This window comes from Homo sapiens, chromosome 3 (genome assembly GCF_000001405.40).
Source record: "Homo sapiens chromosome 3, GRCh38.p14 Primary Assembly".
NCBI classification, from domain to species: domain Eukaryota; kingdom Metazoa; phylum Chordata; class Mammalia; order Primates; family Hominidae; genus Homo; species Homo sapiens.
In genome coordinates, this window is record NC_000003.12 from 55,457,868 (window position 1) to 55,473,611 (window position 15,744).

A 15,744-nucleotide genomic window follows, 5' to 3' on the forward strand; every position below is an offset into this window, starting at 1 on the left:
AGAGCTATAAAATCAGAGAGACTTGACTTTGCTTCTTACTGGCTATGTAGTTTGGGGAAAGATACTTAGTCTTCCAGGGCTTCTATTTCCGCATCTGTAGAATAAGGAGACTAACACTTCCTTTTGAGATGCCACGAGATCAAACAAAATAATGCGAATGAAAAAACTTAACAACAAGCCCAGTCAGTGTGCTTAGTAAATGAGAGCAGTTGCTAGTAAACCTGTGTTGCAGTTACATGGGTCTTATTTTTCCATTTTATAGATGGTGAAAGTGAGGCCCAGAGGAAGCTCAGTGGCTTGCCCAAGGGAGCACAGCTTGCTGCCCACAGGAGTGATGTGGGGTGCAAAGGTGGGTACACCTAAAATTCAGGAGCCCAGGCTGCAGTACTGGCTTTCGCCTTCTCATTGAAAACATCATTTCCCTATTCTCCGCCTCAAAATCTCACTCTGTAAAGAGAATGTGAGTCCCCACCCTGCTCATGTCATGGGTCTCTCCTGAGACATGGGAAAACATGCTGCAGCGTTTCCCATGGGTGGGGGAGGGATTGGCATGTCTGAGCTGAGGCTAAGCCCATCCTCTGCCTCCCCACCCTCTGCTTCTCCAGCCTGAACCTCCTCAAGAACCTTCAGGAGCCCCCTCCCAGTGCCTTGAAGGGAGCGCCCTGCAATTTGCTGAGTCAGGGAGGCTCATGAGTCATTGAATTTGGTGATGGAAATGTGGCTGGCTCTTCCCCGATGCCAGTAATGGTCACCATCCTCATCCCTACTACTGCTGGAGTGCCTACTCTGTGTCAGGGCCCTTGACTTACATGATGAGCAATCCTCACAATCAGCTGGTAGCATTCTCACAGCCTTGTGTTATGCATGAGAATACTGAAGAGAGGCCCAATAACTGGCCAAAGGATGTGCAGCTAATACAAGCAAAGCTTGGAGCCAGGTTTTCTTGACTGTAAATTCTTTGTTCTTCCCTGTGCACCATGCTTATGTGGGTTTGTAGCGAGAAACAGATATTCTACTGAAAGTGTTTTTTTTGTTTTTTTGTTTTTTGACATAGAATCTCACTGTCACCCAGGTTGGAGTGCAGTGTCACAGTCATGGCTCACTGCAGCCTTGACCTCCTGGGCATAAGCACTTCTCCTACCTCAGCCACCCAAGTAGCTGGGACTACAGGCACATGCCACAACACCCAGCTATTTTTTTTAAGAATGTTTTTGGAGAGACAGGGTCTCACTGTGTTGCCCAAGTTGGTCCTAAACTCCTGAGCTCAAGCAACCCTTCCGTCTTAGCCTCCCAAAGTGCTCGGATTGCAGGTGTGAGCCACCGCACCTGGACTGAAGGTGCTATTATATAGGAGAGAATAGGTAGAACACTCTGTATACACTGTGGAATCTCAGCCCGGTGGGGGAGACTGCAAAAATGGCTGCAGCAAGGTCTCCCATCCTATATAGATGCCCCTCTGCAACATGACTCTACCAGTCCTCTCACTGAGAGATGGAGTCTACTTCTCCACCTCTGTGAATGTGGGCTATCCTTGGGCTTGCCTTGACCAATAGAATGAGGTGGAAGTGATATAGTGTAACTTCCAAGTCCAGGCCTCACCTTCGTGAAATGTGGCATCCAAGTGTAAAAGAGCCCAGGCTGGCCACTCAAGAGATGAATATTCACATCAACGGAAAGGCCCAGCCAACAGCCAGAATCAACTCTTGGCTTGTGGGTGAAGCCATCTAGGATCATCCAGCCCCTAGCCTATCTGCCAGGCCCCGAGTGAGGGCAGCAGAAGAAACCCCCTCCCTGCTACCCCTGCCCAGACTGCTGACCCACAGAATCATAAGCAAATACAGTGGCCATGGTTTTAAGCCGTTAAGTTTTGGTATGGGTATGGTGTGTGATTAGGTGATAGATAACAAATAAAGCGAGTGACTCAATTTCTCCCAGCCTTGGTTTCCTCATCTGTAATCTGGGAATCATGTATCAAGAATAAATGAGATGAAGCCTGCAAATCATGGAGCACTGAGCCTGGTACAGCATGAGCATCATCAGTGTTGAGGAAGTCAGTGCTGGTGCAGGCAGCTCTGGTTAGGGACACTGAGACAAAGGTCAGGAGGTGAGCCCTTTGTTGGGTGGGTGCTGGGGGCATGTTTGTGGAGGGCAGCCCTGGGACAAGACTGAGGTAGAACTTCTAGCCAGTCATCCTGGTGGTGCAGGGGTGGGCAAGCATCTGGCTAGAGTTGTCTCAGTTACAGGGACATTAGGCTGCCCCAAGTGTGGCAGGAAACTCTGGATAGGTTAGGGAGTGGTGGCTGAGCCATGCCAGTGCAACACCAAAATATCTCCAAGATCATGGAGACCTTGAGTTTCCATGGACAAGATGAGGGTCCAGGAACTAAGGAATTGTGGAGGCAGCATTTTCTCCCCAGGGTCTTTTGTTTGCTCATGTGTTTGTTTTTTGAGGTAGTCTCACTCTGTCTCCCAGGCTGGAGTGCAATGTCATAGTCATGGCTCACTGCAGCCTTGACCTCCCAAGCTCAAGCAATCCTCCCACCTCAGCCTCCTGAGTAGCTGGGGCTACAGTCACATACCACTGCACCCAGCTATTTTTTTTTTCTTTTGTAGAGACGGTGTCTCACTTTGTAGCCCAGGCTGGTCTCGAACTCCTGTCTTCATGCAATCCTCCTACCTCAGCCTCCCAAAGTGCTAGGATTACAGGTGTGAGCCACTGCACCTGGCCTCCACTGTCTGCTTTAAAGGTTAGTCCTGAACCTGCCTCATGCCTGCTGAATACCTTTCACCCACAGGAGGAAGTCTAGATGCCTTATCAGAGGCCCTACTGACTGCAGTCTGAGTCTCCGTGTGCCCAGCCTCATCTTCCACCACTCCCTCTTCACCCTCTTGTTCCCATGAACCTCCAGACTCACAGCTCCTGGGGGAACTGCATTCCCTCCCACCTCTTGGCCTTTGCTCAAGCTGTGCCTTCTTTCTTGAATACTCTTACCTACCCTTCCCCTACTTAACCTGGATAACCTTTGCTTGTCTTTAAAACCTCAGCTAAAATATCCCTTTCTCCAGAGAGCATCCTTGGTTCTCCAAGTCTGGATGTGTCTCTCCTCCTTGAGCCCCCATGGAACCCTATTCTTCCATGATCCCCGTCACCACAACTGCTCACTATGGGAAATGTGTGCTCTGGAAGGACAGGAGCAGAGTTTGCTTTGCTCACCTCTGTAACCTCATCACCTAAATGAGTGCCCAGCACACAGTGGGTGTTCATTAAATTCTCCTGTGTTAGTCCGTTCTCATGCTGCTATGAAGACATACCTGAGACAGGGTAATTTATAAAGGAAAGAGGTTTAATTGACTCATGGTTCCGCAGGGCTGGGGAGACCTCAGGAAACTTACAATCATGGCAGAAGGCAAAGGAGAAGCAGGCACCTTCTTCACAGGGCAGCAGGATGGAGTGAGTGCAAGCAGGGGAAATGCCAAATGCTTATAAAACCATAAGATCTCATGAGAGTCACTATCAGAAGAACAGCATGGGGGAAACTGCCCCATGATCCAATTACCTACACCTGGTCCCACCCTTGACACTTAGGGATTATGGGGATTATAACTCAAGATGAGATTTTGGGTGGGACACAGCAAAACTATATCACCTTCCTAGTGTGTAAATGATGAATTGATAAATGAATTGACTGGGTCTTTAGAGAAAAAAAATGACAACAACAACAAAAAATCAGAGGCTCAAAGAGGGTAAGAGACTTACCCCATATCACACAGAAGTTATGTCAGAATCAGGAAAAGGGCTTGCCTTGATGGAATGAGGCCCACTTTCCCAGATGGCAGGGAGGCACCCCAGCTGATGGAGGGAGGAGCCCTTTTGATACTGAGTGTGGCCAATCAGGACATGTCTGAGTTTCCTAGGGGATGGAGTTCTCCAGGTGAAATGGCATGCCTCTCAGGAGGCTGTGAACCCTGGGGTGGGGTGGGATGGCCTGCAAGGGACCTTCCCAATCTGTGACTCTCCTGGCTAGGGGATCCCCATTGAGTCTGGGGACTCAGTGACAACCTTGGGAAGTACCAGGAGAAGCAATGTGTTGGGTAGAATTACTAATTGCTGTATCAAACTCCAATATGGTACTGACTTAACATAAAATAGAAGTTTATAATTTAGTCACTCAACTGTCTAAGGAAGGAGTTTCTGGTCAGCTGCTGGCTTTCTTCCATGTGGTGAGTCAAGCATCCAGGTTTCTCCCATGTGTGGCCCAATCAACTCCTAGGACTTCAGAGTCCTCTGCTCCAAGCTGGTGGAGGGAACGATGCAGTGAAAAACTCACACTGGCTTTTCAAAAATCTGGACTTCAAAACTGACACACTTCACTTCTGTTCCCCTTCCATTTGTGGGAACTAGTCCTCTAGCCATACCTGGATGCAAGGGAGCCTGGGAAATGTAGTCTTTGTTTAGGCAGGATCAAGGCCACATTGATAAAGGGAGAGCATGCATTTTTGTTGGGCAAATGGAGTCTTGGGTCAGACTTAAGCTCTCCAATCTTCCTTTGCTTCATCTGTAAAATGAGGATAACAATATTATCTCAAAAGTTTCTTGGTACTCTTACTGAAATGGGATGAAAGATAAAATCCTTACCAAGTGCCAGGCACAGAAGAAATGCTTGTCATAAATTACCTTCCTAAACCGCTGTAATTTTTTTTTCTAGTAGAAATGAGATTTTTCTGAAGGTCATGGTCAGAGGACAGCTGGATCTTCTCAGTCCTCATTTGCCTCCTTTGCATTTTATGCCTTTTCCCCCCTTTCCTATCCCCTTTCTGCTTTTTCTTTCTTCCTCTCTCCCACCTTTAGGTCTAGTTATGTCTTAGGAGTCTCCTTGTTGCCTCCCAGAGCACATTCTTCCCCATCCCACCACCCAGGCTATAAATACGTAGATTAGCCACCGGTTGGGACTAGCCCTCCATTAGGAAGAGGAACAGAAATGTCACCAGGTAGCACTCCCTACCTTTGCAGCCATAAATTTCAAGCCAGGCAGCTCTTGACCTCAAGAGAACATATGCCCACAAAACCTGCCAGAGAGGGGTTGCTCCACCCCAGGACTTCCCAACTTGCCCAGAGAATGGGAACATTAACAGGTCTCCCATGAAAGGAAGTCAAAAACTCAAGTCAACGAAACTCCGAGTTAACAGATCTCTTTCTTGCAGTTCTTTGATTTTAGCATTGCCAATATGCTAAGGACCATCATACATCTCTCAGCGGGGCAAGGATCCATCAGTCCTCACTTCCCAAACTTGTTTGGCCATGAAACACTTCCTGTTGATCATCCTTTGGGTCTGTGAGTGATGGAATGCTCTTTGGAAACTGCAACTCAAAAACAAGCATCAAAAACTGGAGCTCGTGTTTAATTTTTTCTTTTTATTTTCTGAGATGGAGTTTCGCTCTTGTTGCCCAGGCTGGAGTGCAATGGCGCCATCTTGGCTCACCACAACTTCTGCCTCCCGGGTTCAAGTAATTCTCCTGCCTCAGCCTCTGTAGTACCTGGGATTGCAGGCATGCGCCACCATACCCGGCTAATTTTGTATTTGGTAGAGAGGGGTTTCTCCATGTTGGTCAGGCTGATCTCAAACTCCCGACCTCAGGGGATCTGCCTGCCTCGGCCTCCCAAACTGCTGGGATTACAGACGTGAGCCACTGCACCCAGCCTGGAGCTCGTGTTTATTTAGCTATGCAGGGCAGGCTGGCTAGAAACATTTAACTGTTAACTCATTATCTTTGTTTTTAAAACGAATTCCACCTCTTATTATACTGCTACTATCATTAGGCTTTGAAGGTGGCCTTTTGCAGATTCTATCATGTAATTTAAATATCAAGCCTAATTGGGTGGTGGCTTTTGTTCCCATGTTCTTGCTGCGGACGTTAAGTTCAGAGAGATTCAAGCATCTCTTCAAGGCCACACTGCAAGTAAGTAGTTAGGCTGAAACCTGGGAATGGTTGTGTTTTTCATCCATTCATTAAATATTTATTGAGTTCCTGTGATAGGCCAGGCATTCTGTACACCAAGAAACTAATCCATTTTGTTTATTTCTTTGTTTTAGACTCATTGGCTAGCTTATAAATATGTACAGACGTTTTTGGTTTAAACCAGTCGTTTTCACCTGGGATAATTTTGCCCCCCAGAGGACACTCATCAATGTCTGGAGACATTTTTGGTTGTCACAAATGGGAGGCTGCTATCAGCATCTAGTGGGTAGATGCCAGGGATGCTGTTAAACATACTATAATGCACAAAGACAGCCCTCACGACAAATAATTATCCTGCTCAAAATGTCAATAGCGATGAAGCTAAGAAACTCTTAGAGGGAAAACACCTTTAAAAACAATTACAAATGTAAAGGCCTGCAGGGGCCAGTTAGGTGCCATAAATGACTGGCCAATTAGACATGCCTAGCCCTGTCTAAAAGGGAGTAGCAGCTGCTTGGGTCCAGCTGATTGTTGCTACGTGGGACCTGTGACATGCTCCTAGGTGACCAGCTCTCCCCATTTTTCAAGCCAGAAATCCAAATTTTAATGTGAAAGTACTCATATTTTAAATGTTGGCAACTAATTTTTTAAATGCTGTGCCAGTCAAACAAAACACATCTGGAGGTGTGATGTAGACAGCAAGCCATAAGTTTGCAACCTCTCTAAAATACTAAGTGTGCCTTCCCAGCATTGAGCCAATAGTGTTAGGTGTGTTAAACAGCACTGATCCCACGTTGCCTTGATTTAGCCTTCACACTTATTCCAGTGTTCTTTTCCTCAACACCTTTCTCTCTCAGCTAACATTTATTGAGCTGTTACTATGTAGTAGAACATGCTCTAAGCACTCCCTAAGTGTTAACTCATTTTTATCTTCACAAGAGCCTGAAGAGGTAGATTGCAATGCTCTCTCTCATTTTAAAGACAAAGGCCTCAGAAGCACTGTGAGGTTGTGCATCTTCCCCAAGGTGAAAGGGGTACTGGGATTTGAACCCGGGCAATCTGGCTCCGGAGCCTATGTTCTTAACTGCTAAGCCAGGCTTCCCTGGAATAGATGCCACCTCTCCATCTTGGGAGTAAAACTCCCAAGGGTCTTGTCTCACTCATGAGTCAACCTAGGCAAGCTCAATAGTTCACCAAGGTGGTCAGCCAGTATTCCCCAAGTGTTCAAACCTCAGTCCCTCCAACTAAAGTCATGGTTTTAAACTGGGGGTGATTTTGCTCCCCAGGGCACATTTGGCATGTTTGTAGATGTTTTTGATTGTCACAAATGGAAGGATGTTATTGGCATCTAGTGGGTAGAGGCCAGGGATGCTGCTGAATACCACATAAAATAAATCCCTACAACAAAGAATTATCCAGCTCAAAATGTCAACAGTGCCAAGATCGAGCAACCGGCACAAAATCTAAAGAGCTTACTGGCAACTGTTCTAAGATGAAAAAAGCCACCTGCAGAATATTCCAGGTGGTTCAGTCTGTTCTTCATCTTGAACATCGTTTTAGTTCTCTCCTGAAGTCACTCTTTCTTCCCTTGCCCTAGAATTTCACGGTAGTCCCATCTCACTGTGCTAAATGCCTACACTAAAAAAAAAATCTTACTACAACTCTTAGGGATTAACAGCAGCAGAGCAGATAAGAAATGAAAAAAATCAGCAACAGGCAAAAGAAAAATGAGCACTAAAGTACAAAATACATGCTTGAGCTTCAACCACCATATCATCTACATACCTGAAATGTACGTGTGTTTTTCTGGATACCCTAAGCCGTAATCCGTGCCCACATCAAACTTCAATGAACACTCTCTCTGCTAAACACACACGCACGACTGCACTGGATTTCATAAAATGATTTTAATAGAAAAGTACAAGATATGAACAAAAATAAATAATCTTTATCTCATTTCTAGCCCAGCAAATTGTACACTGCATATAAAAATGGTCTAAGATGCAATTTTCCTCCATTCCTTTTTTGCTTTTAAAATACTGAGACAGCATTTTAATTCAATATTCTAGGTTCAAACTGATACATTAAAAAAAAATCATACCAACCTTTAATCATTCTACATCCATTTTTTAAAGTTAGCTAACAAGATGATGTTTCACTAAAATAAAATATCCAATCATCAGATTAAAGTGTAAAGTTTGTGTGAACAGGGAAATTAGATCATTTCTCTAAGTTTTAATTCCTATGTTTCTGAATGTTTCTTGAATTAAAAATTCATTTCATCATCTTACTTTCAAAACACGGCATCTCTCTTTCACCATTCCACAGAGAGAGAAAAGACTAGAAAATACTTTAAAAAAAATAAATATTTTAAAAGTATAGCTTACAGTGACAATGTAGTATTTTAGACCTGTGCCTTCGTGCCTATTTGCATTAAATACATGCTTCAAGTTATAACTACCTTTTCTATCTCTCTATATATTGTGGGCCACTAAGTGTTTGTGGACTGATGCTGCTAACGATCTCTTGGAGTTAGCTAGTACCGGTCTCTTATTCAGAGTATTTACTCTGCTATAGCGTCATATTTGATAATTCTAGTGGCTTGAATAATGTTTTGTAAAAACAAATTGAAACTTGGTATTGGCAAAATTGTACGAGAAAAGAGCTAGGGTAGGCAACTAAAACTTACACAGTGCCAGTCTCAGGAGGTCAGTAGCTCACAGAACTCAACAGATAAACTGGATTAAAACTTAAAAGTCTTCTTTCTATTTGAGCCCATAATGACTATTTTGAACATGGCTCTTTTGCTGCTGCCTATATATAAATTTTTTATTAATTTTCTTGTATTGGGAAGATCTTGAATACGCTCCAGGATGAGAAGAAAAAATACGCTGACACTGCTAAATCGGGTATATGTTTTTGCAATAAAGAACACTGGTCAATATACAACTGAGGAAAAACTGAAACAGATGTGAGTCCTAGAACCACAAGAGTTTGAATTTGCCCAGAAATGCTATTTTAAACACTCTATATGTTGGTCTGCTGTTTTTTTGTGGAATAATGCATTCTTGGCATCCTTAAAAGGTTTCAATATGTTACAAGGTTATCCGGAAAGAGAAAAAGCAAAGGCTAATGTATCAATCTGTGGAGCACTGTCCAGATTTCCGTGTACATTTTTGAAAAGCACAATAACTTGTATTAATTGCACTTAACACAATGAACCTTTAGTTTCCAACCAGTTTTCATTCTCTGCAGACCCGGGCTTTCTTTTTATAAAAACTGCTTTCAAAGGGCATAGAGACACCACACATGGTCCACAGTAAATTCAAATAGAGAGGTGCAATAGTTGCAGTGGTAAACACACAAAAAAATACATTTTTTTGGACTAAAAATCTGGTCACGGATAAAAGCATGTGCCTTTTCATTCTTCTCTGGGATGTTACAACAGCAACACGCTCTAAAACAATTAAGTTACATGCATAATGCTAAAAGAATGTGAGCAATCCTATAACCAGCTTTAAGCCATCTGCTTGATTTCTTTTTTTTTTTTTTTTGTAAGGAACATATATAGGAAAAGAGAATTCCCCTTTTGTTCCATTACATATAGAAACCTTTTGAAGCTTCCAAATAGCTTGGTTTTGGTAAAATTCACCACTCTTTTATTACTTTGACATGTAGTCATCCTAAACTATCCGTCATGGTTTCTCCAAAAATCTCCACATGAATTATCTGAAGGACAATTGAAACCACTTACCAATATACAAGTAACGTTTTATTTTATATTCTATCTTCCATTTGGCATAAGCCTTTCGATGTTTGTTTTTTAAACCAGTGAAATATACAAATCACGCAAGACAGAAATATGTACATTAAAAGTACAGAATAAAGGCTAGAAGATATACATAATATCTGAATGACATGTAGAATATTTTACATTAAATAGTTTCTTTTAAAAGCTAGGATTGTTAAACTCAACTCTCTTCATAAACATGAGTCACTAAAAAGGAACAATCTGATTTAGCAAATAAAAAAAGTACTTCATGGTTTTTGTATAATAAAAACCAAAAAAGTGACATTTTAAACTAATTAGTGCTTTTTGCTTTCAAGATCTTTTGCTCACAATTCACTGCAACTGAGGGGATGTGAATATCATTATGCAATAAATTAAGAGCCACAGTTGGCTGAGGTGATATGAAAGCCAACCTGCCTAAGGGGGGTATGAAAGATGTGTATCTTTCCAAACTTTTAAAACAACGTAAGTCTGAGATAAGAACATATTTGATGGCACTGTTTGGAAAGAGGTGTCCTTATTAAAAAAAAAAAAAAAAAAGCTATCTATGTAGTGGGCTGAATATTCCTTAGGGACTCAATTAATAAGTACTGTCATTTCTAATAGGCATGGGTTTCCATTCTGCAGAATGAACTAAGAAAAGAGAAACATTGCTGATGCTTCTGAGTTTTGAATATCTCTTAACGTCCATGTCTATAACGAACAAGTAATGCCCTCTCCACAAAGTGAACAGAAATGGAGGTTGGAGACAAAGGGGTGAGGCAGAAAAGAAAAAAGATATCTTCAACCCAACACGCATTTCAGTGAGTCAGAACTCAAGCTTCCTCAGAAACAAGGTTGCTTCGTCGTGCTCAAGGTATGATCACAGCAGGGCCACAGCCCAAGCTCAAGACTCAAAAAACTTTTGGAATAATCCCAACTGGACTGCAGTGAAGGACAACAATGCTCTAGACAGAGAAATAACCCCAGAGTAAACTGTAAATCTAAATCACTGGCTGCAATGAGATATATTTATATTTATATTTATATATATGTATATATATATATATGTTATGTACAAAAGACTTTGAGATATCAGGCACCATTAAACCACATTTCCCCCCTTATAAATGCAACTGTTCAAGTACACTGGGAACAGTTTTAAGGTACACCTGCAGTACAATAGGAGAAGCATGAGTGGATAATCTAAACACAGGATCATAACAGTGATACGCTGCAACACCTCTGTGAATTCCATTAGCCAAGTTCTGTCATTAAAACATAGAAAACTACTGCTCCTCAAAATAAAAGTTTTAGGAAACAAAAATCCCTAAGTAGTGAACTGTTTTCCAAGCAGAGCTCCTAATGTTTCATTTCCTGTCCTACAACCAAAGGGGACCCAGTGGAGCTGCCGTTTGGAAACGTGGCCAGCATCACATCACAACACGGAGGAATCAGAGAGGGCTCAGTGTGAAGAGGAAGGTGGATTTCACTGTTTTTCCTCAAATAGGTTGTCTGCTCTGGTGCAGTGCTGAATGGCACGCAATTACCTTGTTGCTTGGGCTGAGAACCTGTGAATGGGATTCATGTATTATTTTTACTATTATAATTTACTAACCAAGTATCCCTAAGAAAATAACAGGATATTTTCATTTATGTTCAAGCCAACCTCCCCAAACAAAAAAATCTAGTGTCCAGAATCATTTGGGGATCTTTTTACAATCTGGAATCCTAATTCTTATAACAGCTTCAAATCAACATCTTGACATAAGAGTTTTAAATTTTTTAATTTCTGGGGACTTTCCTCCCTGCTGCCCAAATTTCATGAGCTATTAGAATATGACGGTCTGTCTGCAAATGGAATATTTGAGGAGAATGAGACATGTGATATACCTTTTTTCCTTGAGAATATGACATTCTTGTCCTTCCATTGTAAATTATCATTTTGAAAATGCAGAAAGCAAGCTAGCAGCCCTGCTGGGGAAGGGAGGTTTGTTTTGTTTTGTTTTGTTTTCCCAAGACCTTTTATCTTGCACCAGAGAATTTACAACTCATTTTGGTCATAGAAGCTGAATTGTGAATAGATTTCTACCACCCTCTTTCAACTGGAACCTACCCATCCCATATGATGGCATATTTGAGAAAAAGAAAATGTATTTCTTTACCTTCTGGATGTGTACCATGTCCACACAGCTAAGTTAGGGTATGTGTTATTTCCCCTTCATTCTATACTATCAAAAGAAGTCTTGTATTACCTTTTCAAAGATCCACAAAATAAATATTTTTCTTGGTTCCCACCCCCATTATTGCCAAATAATAATTATAATATTAATAATAAACCACAGAGTTCTTAGATGGTAACAGGAAAAAAAATGGTTCCGGTTGCAATTCTTGGGGAAAAATAAAAAATATTTCTAAAAACCAAAAACCAGAATCACTGTACTTTCTATAAATAAGCGGGTCCTGGGAGCGGGGCTGAGTGCTGGGTGGCACCCACTACTTGCACACAAACTGGTCCACGATCTCCGTGCACTTCTTGCACTTGACGTAGCAGCACCAGTGGAACTTGCAGTGGCAGCGCTCCGTCTGCACGGTCTTGAACTGGTCGTAGCCACGGCCGCAGCACATGAGCTCGCAGCCATCCATGCCCTCCGACGTCTTGTTGCACAGGCGGCCCTGCGTGCCCAGCGAGCCGGTGCTCTCATTGCGCACGCAGTAGTCAGGGCTGGGGTCGATGTAGACCAGGTCTTGTGTGGTGGGCGAGTTGAAGCGGCTGTTGACCTGTACCAACTTGCCCCGGCTGTTGAGCCGCATGGCCGCCGCGCTGTCGTACTTCTCCTTCAGGGCATCACCCACCTTGCGGAAGTCTGCCAGCTGCAGCCAGCATGTCTTCAGGCTACATGAGCCGGACACCCCATGGCACTTGCAGGCCACATCAGCCAGGTTGTACACCGTCTGCAGGGAAATGGGGGCAATCAATACACACATTCATGGAGGAGCCAGATGCAGGCTATAGGAACAAAGTTCTCCTCGACCTTCTCCATGGAGCTATGTTCCCCAGCTGAATTAAGGACTGTATTATATTTCCTTCATTACCAGAAGTCTTATGTTGCCTTCTTTAAAAATTCTTCCAAATAAATATGTTCTTAACCACTCATTATTATATCATTATCAACAACAACTGTGGTTTTTTAATAGGAACAGGAAAAAAAAATTGTTCCAGCTGTATTTTTTTCAGAGAAAGAGCAGCAGCAACATGTGGACACTCATCCCAGAGGTTGTTCACAATGCATTACCTGAATTAATCCCCCGTACCAGCTAGGTGAGAAGTGCTAGTATCATCCCATTTCACAGAGAAGGAAAGTGAGACCCAGAGAGATGAGCCACTCACCCAACTCCCGGGGAGTAAAGGTGCCAGGATTTGAACCCAGGCAGCTGGACTCCAAGCCCGTGCTTAGTGACTTGCCCATGGATATCCAGCCGGTAAGTGCAGAATTGGGAAGAGTCCAGCCCCAGTGGGATCAGGGTTCAAATCTTAACCCATTACTACTATTATTGCTGTGCACCAGGCACTATAAGTGTCCTTACACTCATGATCTCATTTAACCATCCCAGCAACATTATGACATGGGCTGGATTGGATGATGGCACAGTGATGCTGAGTGGCCTGCACAGGTCACACAGCTAAAGTGTGGGGGGACTGCGCCTGGAACTCAGGTATCCTCACTCCTGTTTCCCACACAGTCCCTACCCCATCTACTACCCCGCTAGGCTAAGAGCACCCACCCTGGAGCCAAGCAACATAGATTGTGTTCCTGACTCTACCCTTGAATTCAGACAACAGGCTGCACCTTTCCGGGCCTCTGTTTTCTATCTGCGAAGGCAGCAGTGGTGGCACCAACCTCCAAGTGCTGTTATAAGGATAAAATTAGGGGAGATGTGGAAAGTGCTTGGCACTTAAGACACAGTAAATCTGGTCTTTCTTTAGGGTAACAACGGACACACTCAGGAAATCTGGTCTTTCTCCAGAGTGACGAGGACACGGCATCTGGGCCCTTGCCCAGTCACCTTGGGCCTCCCAGTAGCAGTGCCCACGGGTCTGGCCCTATAACACTGTGCCCAGCAGTCTGGGAGGTGGTGGTTGCCTATTTATAGACTCTGCTGCCCACAGTTCCTTGTGCCAGTGACCCTCCAGAGTCCACGTGGTGTGAGTGTGCTGGAGAAGACCTGTCAGGAACCTGGAAGCTGGGGGTGCATCAGAAGGCCTCTTCCGCAGAGAACAGCCACCCTCTTCCTCCAGGGATTCACAGGGGCTCTTTTAAAGGGGGCCAAAGTGTACTCTCTTGGCATAAAGAGTTTCAGGCACTCAGCTAGTCTGAGGAAGGGTTTTGCAAATGTATTTAACCTTTGCTCCCCACTGAGGAAAATTAAAAAGCTAACACCCCATGGAAATTCTAATATGATTTTCTGGCACAGTGCCCAAATTTCCATCCCCTAGCCCCACCATCCCAGAGCAAAAAAAACTGTCTTCTTCGTAACCTCACTCACCAAAATCCAAACTCAGCTCACTACTCCAATGATCAAATTTACCCCAAAAAAACTCGCTACTAAAAAAATGCAGAAGTGTAACATTATAGGTGCTTTTCAAACTTCCCCAATCCTCTCTTGCCACTTGGAAATCCCTTGACCCGCTCTTCTTGGTTGCCAAGCCTCTGATGATTTCTGGACATGAGAGAAGGCTAAGAAAGTCCCAAAGATGGATGAGAATATCAAATATGGGCATACCCCTGGATAGGGGCCTTTAAGAGTCAGACACATCTCTCTTTTTGAGGCATTTCTGATCTGAGGCACTGGGCATGTCATATATAGAGATCCCAGCGATACATCCCTGAAGAGGGTGATAGCAAGGTTTTATGGGCTTCCAGAGAGAATGGGGCTGACCCCACCCCCCCCAAATTTTCATGTGGCTCTGGGTCCACCACAGAAGAGGCATCCCACACTGCAGACACCATGGCAGTGAGAGGCCTGAGAAAGGAGAGGCCACACTCTGTCTGTGGCAATTATTTGACCCCTCATGGCAGTACAGGCAAAATTCTGTAGAGTTTAGTCCTTCCCCGGAACACCCAAATGTTTAACAACAAATTTGAGAAGATAAGCTAGCTGGAATTATCTACACGATCTTTGACTTCTCTATGTCCTTTGCCTATAATGTTTTAGAAGTTATCATCTATCAAGCACTTACTACTGGCGGACACTAAACTAAGACCTTTAATTAAACCAAATGAAATTGTTATTTTGTAATAAAAAAGAGTCAAGTGTTCACAATTTCACATGGTTCAACCTACTAGATGATCTCACTGAGGCCTCACAATAACCTCAGGTAATTGTAATTGCCATGGCCATTTAACAGATGTGGAAATGGGAAAACTGAGGCTCAGAAAAAGCAAAGAACAGACAACACTGCATTTTAACCCAGATTTCTCTAATTCCCGAACTGCTAGCTCTTCATCTCTTAGCTGTGATGCATGAATTCAATAAAAACGTACCTAGGCTTATATTTCCATTCTTTAATTTTCTTCCATGGTCATGAAGTGGTTTTCTGGGCCTCAGTTTCCTAGTCTTTCAAATGAGTGTGGGGCCAGAGTCTTCTAAGGCTCTGTCCAGTCCTCTACAGTTTACTCTGTGATTAACTTCCTTCTCCCTCACCCCAAAATACAGAAGAGTGAAATCTCTGACCAGAAAGTTCCTGGCACCTACCTTGGGTTCTGTGAAAAAATAATGGCCCTGGTTTTCAATGCTGCCAAAGTTAAGAAAAGTTTTCACCCCTTCATTTTAAAGCAGCCATAAAGTGCCATGTGTTTAACCGCAGGAAAAAAAGGGTCTTTTTAACTATTGAGAAGTAGCTTTTCATATCCCCACCAGGGGAAGGAAAGAGCGGGAACCAGGAGACTCGTGAGGACTGCAAAGATGGTCCTCCCTGGGTACTTCTGCTGCTCTCTTCTCTCCAGAGCTACTT

General features: G+C 43.5%; 1 protein-coding gene across 20 annotated transcripts in view; it reads right to left on the bottom strand.

The window, feature by feature from the left end:
* The window catches only part of WNT5A (Wnt family member 5A), a 39,549-nt gene continuing 31,652 nt past the window's right edge, over window positions 7,848-15,744 (bottom strand). For all 20 annotated transcript variants that reach the window (XM_047448855.1, XM_047448853.1, XM_047448857.1 and 17 more), the window contains one exon: window positions 7,848-12,683. In XM_047448855.1, the coding sequence (XP_047304811.1) occupies window positions 12,225-12,683 (459 nt within the window). In that variant the 3' untranslated portion in view covers window positions 7,848-12,224. The remainder of the gene's footprint in view (window positions 12,684-15,744) is intronic.